We start from the raw sequence: 10260 nt of genomic DNA on the forward strand, positions 1-10260 counted from the left end.
CCACCTTTAAACATGGGGCTTGCAACTTAGCTCACACCCGACCAGAGAGCTCACTAAAATGCTAATTAGGCAAAAACAGGAGGTAAAGAAATAGCCAATCATCTATTGCCTGAGAGCACAGTGGGTGGGACAAGGATCGGGATATAAACCCAGGCATTTGAACTGGCAATGGCACCCCCCTTTGGGTCCTCTCCCTTTGTATGGGAGCTCTGTTTTCACTCTATTTCACTCTATTAAATCTTGCAACTCCAAAAAAAAAAAAAGAAAGAAAATATGCTTAAAATTATTAGCTCAAAGGGAAATACAAATCAAAGCCACAAAGAGACATTACCTCACACCTACTCAGATAATTATAACAAAAAAGTCAGATAATAACAAGATATTGACAAGAATATGGAGAAATTGAAACATTCATACATTGCTGGTGGGAATGTAAAATGGTGCAGCCACTTTGGAAAACAGTCCGATAGTTACTCAAATGGTTAAACATACAGTTAAAATGTGATCCAGAAATTTTACTCTTAGTTATATATCCAAGGGAAGTAAGAACATGTCTACACAAACACTTGTACACAAATATTCATGGCTGTATTATTCATAATAACAAGCAGAAGCATCCAAATGTCCATCAACTAATGAATGGATAAATAAAATGTGATATCCATACAATGGTATATTATTCAACAATAAAAAGAAATGAAACACTAATGCAGGCTAAAATATGGATGAATGTTGAAAACATTATGCTAAGTGAAAAAAGCCAGTCACAAAGAACCATGATCACATTTATGCAAAATCTCCAGAAAAGGCAAATCAATAGAGACAGAAAACAGATTAGTGGTTGCCTAAGTCTGAGGAGTGTGGAAGCGGGATGTTGACAGCTAAGAAATATGAATTTTTTTTTTGGAGGGAGAATAATGAAAATGTCCTAAAATCGAATGTGCTAATGGATCCTATTTTATCAATTAGGAGTTACTGAACTGTACACCTTAAATGAGCGAATTACATGGTATGTGAATTATCTGAAAGAGCTGTTAAGAAAATTTTTAAGATGTAATATTGAAGCCAGTGCTCTAGTCTTCTTGTATATTTTCAATGAAAATAAAATTTGATACAACTAACTTAGTTTCATCAAACTGTTGTATGTCTTTTGGTCCATTTATGAAGAAAGATGTATATCACTTTACTGTTAATAGTTAATATCATAAATAAATTTTCAAAAATTTGAAAATATTAGAATTATAGCTGTACTTGCCAAACTCATAAGGCACTATATAAAAAGGCAGTCAACATCATTAGTTATTAGGGAAATGCAAATTAAAACCATAATGAATACCAGTGCATATTTATTAGAATGATTAAAATGGGGAAAATGACACTACCAAGTACTGATGAAGAAGCAGAGCAACTGGAACTCTCATACTTTGCAGGTGGGAATGCAAAATGATACACAATCACTTTGGAAACAGATTTGCAATTTCTTATAAACATATGCTTGTGGCCGGGCATGGTGGCTCACACCTGTAATCCCAGCACTTTGGGAGGCTGAGGTGGCAGATGACCTGAGGTCAGGAGTTTGAGACCATCCAGGCCAACATGATGAAACCCCATCTCTACTAAAAATACAAAAATTAGCCAGACGTGGTGGCACACACCTGTAATCCCAGCTACTCAGCAGGCTGAGGCAAGAGAATCGCTTGAACCTGGGAAGCGGAGGTTGCATTAAGCCAAGATTGTGCCACTGCACTCTAGCCTGGGCAACAGAACGAGACTCTGTCTCAAAAAACAAAAACAAAAACATATGCTTGCCATATGATGTGGGAGATATGAAAACTTATATTCACACAGAAACCTGTACATGAATGTTTATAGTAGCTTTATTCATAAGCTCCCCAAAGGAAACAACCTAAATGTCCTTCAGCTGGGGAATGGATAAACAAACTGTGGTACAGCCACACGATGGAATACTATTCAAAAATAAAAAGAGGAGAACATGAATACATGCAGCAACAGGGGTGAATCTTAAATTCCTTCAGTTAAGTAAAGGCAGCTAGACTCAAAAAGCTATATACTGTTTGATGCCCTCAACATGCCATTCTGGAATAGGCAAAACTACAGAGATAAAATACAGATTAATGGTTTCCAGAAGTTGGCATAGGGGAAAACTTGACTATAAAAGGGCACAAGGTAATTTTTTTGGTGATAGATTATGTATTGATTGTGGTGATGGTTGCATTTGCCATGCATTTGTCATATATGTACTTGTCAAAACTCAGAATTTTGACAATAGGGTGACTTTTTCTGTATGTAAATCTTACCTTAATAAAAAGTTTTAAAAATAAGTTTTGAAAAACTGCTCAATATGCTAAATTAATATAAAGTACCCTTATTTTAAAGTGTGTTTACCAAAGCTGTAAAAGCATGGAGACATATTTATAACATGTGAAAAAAACAAGTGATTATGTTATATATTTATAACTGTAGTAGAAATACAAATACTGTGTTTAAAAATCTTCACATATTAGCTCAAAAAGATAGAAAAAAGTTAGCCAAAATGTCAAGAGTAATCCTTTATGATTGGGGGTGAGGACAGGGATGATTTTTTTTGCTTTTCATTTTCTATTTTTAAATTATATTAATAAGTATACTTTGTTTTTCACAAGAAAAATGACATATTACATTTAATAAAAGGACTATATGGGAGTCAGAATAATTCTTTTCAAATATAAAAATTTTCTCAAAGTGTATTGGTCTAAGTAAGACATTCATTTCGTAAATAAGTCATTAGGTTTTGTGGCTTTAGTTTGCTTTTCTGCAAAATGAGAGAAATCTGTTTAGTATTTTTGCTACTCACCCTGAAGCAAAATAAATAAGTTCTCACACTGAAAACAAAATAAATAAATAGCAGCTAATTCAGAGTAGGTGGAAAAGGTGTGTTTGTAAAAACAAGAGTGTTTATTTTCATGTGTGGACTTTAATTCATATTCTCAATCAACTATTTTCTACAGCCTCACCTTTCCCTTCTTAATGAGAACAGTATAGTTCTCCTATTACTAGACAACATTTTTATGTGAGCCACACTCTCACTCACCATATCTATGACAACATGCCCAATAAAGAATCTCCACTAGCCCAAGTCTGTTTCCATAGCACTAGCCAACAGAAAACTATGCGGCAATCAGCCCTAGAAAGTAACCTCTTATTTGTTCTCACAGAGATCTATGAAGAATAATATATTTTAACTTTTCCTTGTCTAGTATCACCATGGCCCAGATTCAGTCTCAGTGCCTGTGCGGTTAAAGGATGGTTTGAACTGAGCAAGAAACAAGGATAACCTAAACTTTTCTGAAGGATAATTTTCTTTGAGTCAATACGTGTTCTGTGATCCAATGAGAGATAGAAAGCCCAAAACTTCTGACACCAACAAACTGTCAGAAGGCAGCAGGGCAGAGGGAGAGCATTTGGAGATATACCTAATGTTAAATGATGAGTTACTGGATTCAGCACACCAACATGGCACATGTATACATATGTAACTAACCTGCACGTTGTGCACATGTACCCTAAAACTTAAAGTATAATAAAAAAAAAAAAAAGAAGGCAGCAGGGCTATGAAATCAGATAAATCTGAGGTTGAATCCCACTTCTATCCAGAATTGGTGCTAACAAAAAGTTTAATTTCTTTGAGTCCCAATATCTTCATATGTAGCAAGGGAAATAATAAGACCTACCTTTGAAAATTATGGGGATTAACTGGGGTAAATGCAAAGTGCCTCTTATGTAATAGGCACTTAATGAAATGTTACTCTTTTCCACAGAGTTTCAGAAGTTGTTTTGCGAAAAACCATAAGGCAGCCTAGCCAACTCTTCTAGAGAGAACAACAGGGTTGTGAGTGTGTATGTGTGTGCCTGTAAGCATGACTGTATTAGGAGTAGTAATCAGAAAGAATCATGTGGGATGCTGTGGATATGTAATTAGAGGTGAAACGGAAGTCTATAAGATCTGGAAAAGAGGTTTCTAGACTCCAAGAGTAAAAGTTGTAAAAAAGAAAAACAGCCAACCCATTTTTAATGGGTCACTTGAACCTAATTATCGGGTCATAGTATATTCCACTTGAAATATATTTTCAAATTAATTGTGTCAAATTTTCTCATTTTTAAAGCAAAAAACAAAACAACACTAACGCTCAGAGAAGGGAAGGGAATTTCCCAAGGTCACACAACACATGGAAAGAAGTGGGACTAGAACATTCCCAGTCTCCTGTTTCTGAGAAAGTAGGGCCCTCTTTGCCCTTGGAGATACTGCTGATTCTTCTTTATGGAATGCCTATGTAAATAAATCCTGCGCTAGGTGCCAGGCAAAGCAAGGCATTGACCCAATCCTCAGTGCATTACGAGGACAAGAAGATAGAGAGGGTGCCATAGAGATGGCACAACCATGATGCGTACCCATTAGGAGCATGGAATGAAGCACGCGCACAAACACACACACATTTACACATGAACATTTACATTACACAGGGTTGTAGCCTGTTGTTATCTGTCATGGAGGGCTCTATGGGAAAGAGGTGTTTGGTCAGCTCAGCAAGGAGAATGTATGTTTAGAAGATCACTGAAGAGGATGAGTGGTGATGCTGGATGGAAAAAAGAAACGGATATGTGAGGAGTTGCAAGGGTCTGGAAGGTTTTTATCTGCCCATGTGTCCTCAAGAAAGTCATTTGATTGATTCTCAGAATAGGGGAGTTACAAGAGAAAAAAAAGTCGCTTGACAACCCCTTCTTCACTTTCATTTCTGATTATGTTGTCTGATCCCAAATCCTCACCAGCATGGGACTATAGTTGAGGTCATGGGAATTTTAATGGATAAATGATTTAGAGCTGCCAGTTGTATATCCAAGACTCCAATCCCTTTTCTAGATTATTCCCTCTCCTAAGACACTTCTGAATCTTCTTAAGAAAGATATCTGGGTGACTCACATAGAACTTGAAACCAGTGTCTCTGCTGTACTGGATGTTAGGTGCCACAATCGTGAAAGAATGGGACTGATAGGGAGAACTTCACATTACCCTGAGATCCTGGACTTTGAGCTGTCTTCGTGGTCATGATGGGACTTTGGTGGTTTCTCTTGAGTAAGAGGTTGAAAGGTGTTCTCTACTTGGGAAGAAAAATCAATGGGGATTTGATAGAGGGCCAGACTGTAGTGGTGACAACTAAGTATTCACCACAGTCTCTTTCCTTTTTCTCCAAAGCACACAGTGAGACAACATTTCCCAGACTCGCTTGCAATTCGGCATGGTCACATGACTAGTTCTGGCCAACCAAAGGTAAGCAGAAATTATACATGTCTTAGCTGAATGGGGAGGGGTCTGAGGATCTGCATGAGGGTAGAACTGCATCATGGAAAGAGCATAGACCATGAATCGCTGAATTACTGAGTTATATGAACAAGAAATAATCTACTGTGTTATGCTTCTGAGATTTGGAAGTTACCTGTTACGGGATTTAGCCTACCCTATCTATCATTATTTCGTCAATCTTAAGATGTACATATTTCCATATTTTAATACTCCATTTTAGACTTGACTTAGATAAAATACTGCAATACAGGAATGTTAAGACAGACATATCAACACACTCACATTCACACAGCTAGTGTGATACTGACACTCCAAGTCTCCTCAACACTAGACCAAATTTCTAAGTTCCATGAGGTACTGATAAGAGAGACAAAGTTACCTAACCACAGAAGCTCCTACATTTGACTAACTTACCTACAGCTCATTGTCCTGGTGTGAGACCATGGTATGTTATCTCAGTATTTTGGATGCTAGCTCTCTGGATTCTGTGACTTAGGAGGAGATTAAAGATTGAACTCCAGCTAAGTTTGGGGGTGATGAAGAGAAGAGCTGATAAACCTGGTATGCCACTGGCAGTCCTATTGTGTCTAAGAAAGAGGAAGATTCTGCTTTGCAGAGCAGCTCAATTTAAAGTCTTGTTAAAGTATTAAAAAAGGTTCCTCTGCTTGCAGTGTTAGTATGTGTCCCCATCAAACAGACTTTGGATATTAGATCTGCCATCTGCACCATGGTATCTGTTGCTAGGGTTACAATGCTCTCCTTGAACAGAAAATCAAATAGCTGCCTGAAACCTGCAGGTAAAGGTCACAGTTGGCACAACATGCATCCTTTTGCGTATATAAAGGAAAAGTATGGCTGTAGGGGAAGGAGGTTCTTTAGATTCTCCCTTTGAGGCCAACCTGGTAAAGATGATCTGGGTAGAAACTTCAGATATCAGCTGTATGTAAGAGGGCATCTTGATAATGCACAGAAAATTCATAAATGGGGATTGGAAATAAATGTTTAAAAACTAAATGCAAGATATCATTTTTTTGAAGGGGATGGTCTCACATGAGTCACCCCACATTGTCCACTCTCAGCTAACCCCTTACCTTCCCAACTTTTAGAATGAATAATGTCCATATGTCTAAAGAATAGGAAATCTTTCAAAAGTAATGAATACAGCATTGGAAGAAATACATTTCTCAAATTATATGGACAGTTTAAATAATAGTTTGATCTTTTCGGGGCTCAGATAGGCTTGGGGGATGCAGAGTTGAGAGGAGGAAGATATCCTCTGGCCAGGTTAACTTAGTTCTGTAGCCCAAGCTTGAAGATACAGAGCACTCTTGCCAAGAAGCTAGAGAAGTAACAGAGTTTGTCAAAACTCTTAGAGAACGGGGAAGAGAGCTACCAATTGCCTTGTGAGTATTGCTTTTTATACTTATAATTTTTACAAGTGTTGATGGTTGTAATGATATTGCTGCTACTACTGCTTCTAATACTACTAGTATTTGTGGCCATTAGTTCTTTTTAAATAATTTCCAATGAATTATCATAAAAGCAGTATAAACAAGAGGTAAAAGTATAACTGTACAAAAGTGTGTAAAATGAAGTTTCCTTCCTCTTACCTTGGATACCCAAGAACCACTCCCCAGAAGTAACTAATCTAAAGTGTTACTTCAGAAATATTCTATGCCTATATGAAGATATATAAATATAGTTAACAGATGCAGGATTTAATATACATACTGTTCTGAAACATGTTTTTATCACTTAACACTGTGTCTTGAACATATTTCCTTATTAGCACCTATAGTGCTATATATATGTGAGATACAGATTTGGCAACATGGTACAGTGGAAAGAGCATGGGCTAAAATTAAGACTATGTGAAGGGATTTGACTAAAAGATGATAATAACTTCACTCTTTATAATAGCAGAATTGTTTTAACAACTCAAATGTCCATTAAAAGCAAATGCCATTATGGTATGTGTCATAGAAAAATATATAGCATGGCCGCGGTGGCTCACACCTGTAATCCCAGCACTTTGGGAGGCCAAGGCGGGTGGATCTTGAGGTCAGGAAATCGAGACCATCCTGGCCAACATGGTGAAACCACATCTCTACTAAAAATACAAAAATTAGCTGGGCGTGGTGGCGGGTGCCTGAAATCCCAGCTGCTCCGGAGGCTGAGGGAAGAGAATCGCTTGAACCAGGGAGCTGGAGGTTGCAGTGAACGGATATCGTGCCACTGCACTCCAACCTGGGCGACAGAGCAAGACTCCATCTCAAAAAAAAATAATAAGAAAGAAAGAAAAAGAAAAATATGTAGCAAAACTGTGTTTTATTTACATTAAATTATACTTAGGTGACTATTAGGTTTCACCTTTTATATGTATTATAATTATTGTTACTACGCTGTTATATTAGAACTTATTGTTGCTATCTTAATTTATACATGTTATTGATAAGTTTTCAATATTTTATATGTATTTATATTATCCTGACAGGGAGATATGTGCTTTCTCTAGCAAAGACAGGTTATTACTTATTCACAGCTGTAACCACCTCAATTTCATTTTTTCCCAGATTCTTCCCCTCAGGGTGATGTGGTAAGAGTTAGATGTCATTCTCTACATACTGGGATCTGTATATAAGTAAAGAACCCACAAAATATAAATCTTGGGTTTATATAGGAGAGAGACAGCTTTTCCCTCTTCTCTCTGAGAAGGAATTGATCTCAAATGTAAATAAAGGAAAGCATCCTCCAAAGTTGGGAGGAAAAGAAAATGTATCCAAAGAGTTTTTACTATTTGGAAGGTAAGTAAATGTTTTCAGGGGGAAGATAAGACAAGTATCTCTGAATTACAACCCCTGTGATATCTTCATGCTCCTGAGTTTCATTGCCTTTCTGAAATATAACACATACCTCCCAGGTTGTAAATCTCCACTTAATGATCATTTAAACTCCAAGGTTTTAACCCAGGTCTTAGTAAAAATTTCCCAGAAAGCCCTGACCATGCATAAAGATAAACATAATCACTTCTTGAAAAAATTTACTACACTTTATTTCAGTGTAATTTTAAATTTCCCCTCATTTACATTGGCTAGATATTACTTTCTTCTGGGAAGTAGGTATATAATTTTTAATTATTCTTAAGGTTTACTATAATTTATTAAGACCCATATTCATGGTTTTTTTCTACCAGTTTTTGAGGATTATCAATACCAAATCTCCCATCTGAACCAGATGAAACCTCAGCCTTCTCACTTTCTTCTTGTCTATTCTTTGATCTGCCATGTTGACATCACCTGTAGTTTTAACTCAAAATTTTTTGTGTATCCATTTGACATAGTATGTTAATATATTCTTTACTCGTCTTAGCCTGGGTTTCTGGAAAGCACAGTCTGAGGCAGACGTTTGTGTTCTCTTTCTTCAGTACACCAGGGGGCAGTAGTGAACGTAAAGCATAGTGAGGCAAGAAAAGAGAGATGATACAATAAAGCATCACCGAATTGGCCGTTGCTTGGCACTAAACATGACAAATTATTCATCCTCATGTGCCTTTATTGTGATAATCCATATAAAAGCTATTTTAGGATAGTGTATCTGGAGAATGAAGGAAAAATTATTTATGCACTGGCTCCTATCTCCCACCGGTCCAAGATTTGTCTCAGTGGCCATAAATTTTCTGCACTTTTGAATTGGCATGTGTTGGTACTGAGCATGGCCTGTGATGTTTCATGCTTTAGTGTCAACACGAAAGTTTTGGGGCAGGAAGCAGCAAGTGATAGTGTGGGCATAAGCTAGGACTTTGTGGCTTGACTTTTGCCTGCAAGAAGTTTTAAAAGTCCACCTAAAGTTGATGTCTACAGAGGCAACAGGAACTGGAACAAGTGGCTAATTCCCCTGAAGACAGATGAGGCCAAGGGATTCTGAAGTGGTACATAGGAAGCATCTGATATAGTTTATCCTTCTCAGATATTTGGTAATCTCCCATTATATCTGGCCACCCTTAAATACAAGAGGAAAAAGGTGTCCACACTGCCTTCCTTTGAGGGGAAGTAGAAGTCCAAACTTCAGAGAGTCCCCTTGAGATTGAAGCGAGTCGGAATCTCTGGAAAGATTTAAGGCAAGAGGGTTAGTGAAACAAGTTATCACTTCTGTTGTGGCAAGTGGTCCAGACGTCATGATTTATATTATTCATCACTCCCCTCCTCTACCACTCAGTTTAGACTTTCCTAGCAGACAGCATTTGGAGTGATCTCAGTTGCTTGTCTGATGGGGTTATTTCAACTTTTATCTCAGAAGAGTCTCAACCCTTAGCTGTTTTTCTATTGTCAGATCATGGTTGTGACACTTAGACTGTGCTTTTTCACAACTGTCCATTTGCTACTATCACCAGATAATAATGGAAACATCAAGAGATGTCCCAGTATTCCAGTTATCTATTGTTGTGTAACATACTATCCCAAAACTTAATGGTTTAAAACAACATTACCTTTATTTTGGCACATTTATCTGTGGATCAAAAATTTTGTCAGAGTTAAGCTCAGAAATTCTTCTTTTCTATGTGATATCAACTAAAGTCACTTGGTGGTCTTCAGCTGGTGGCTGAGCTTGTTTTGAGGGTCTAAGACAGCCTCACTCAAGAATGGTGACTTGCTGGGGACATCTGAAATGCTCAGCTCCATTGGGCCATTCTTTTTCTCCATGTTGTTTCAGGGCCTCTTTATATGATCTCTAGCAGGGTAGTAGGGCTTCTTAGATGGAGGCTCAGGCTCTAAGAACCAGTGTTCCAAGAAGCCAACTCAGAAGCTACAAGGCTTTTTATGACCTACTCTTGAAAGTCATGCAGTGTTACTTCCATTGCACTCTATATGTTACACAGTGCTGGTCCATGTTTAACATGGAAA

This window comes from Homo sapiens, chromosome 3 (genome assembly GCF_000001405.40).
Source record: "Homo sapiens chromosome 3, GRCh38.p14 Primary Assembly".
In the NCBI taxonomy this organism is placed as follows: Eukaryota; Metazoa; Chordata; class Mammalia; order Primates; family Hominidae; genus Homo; species Homo sapiens.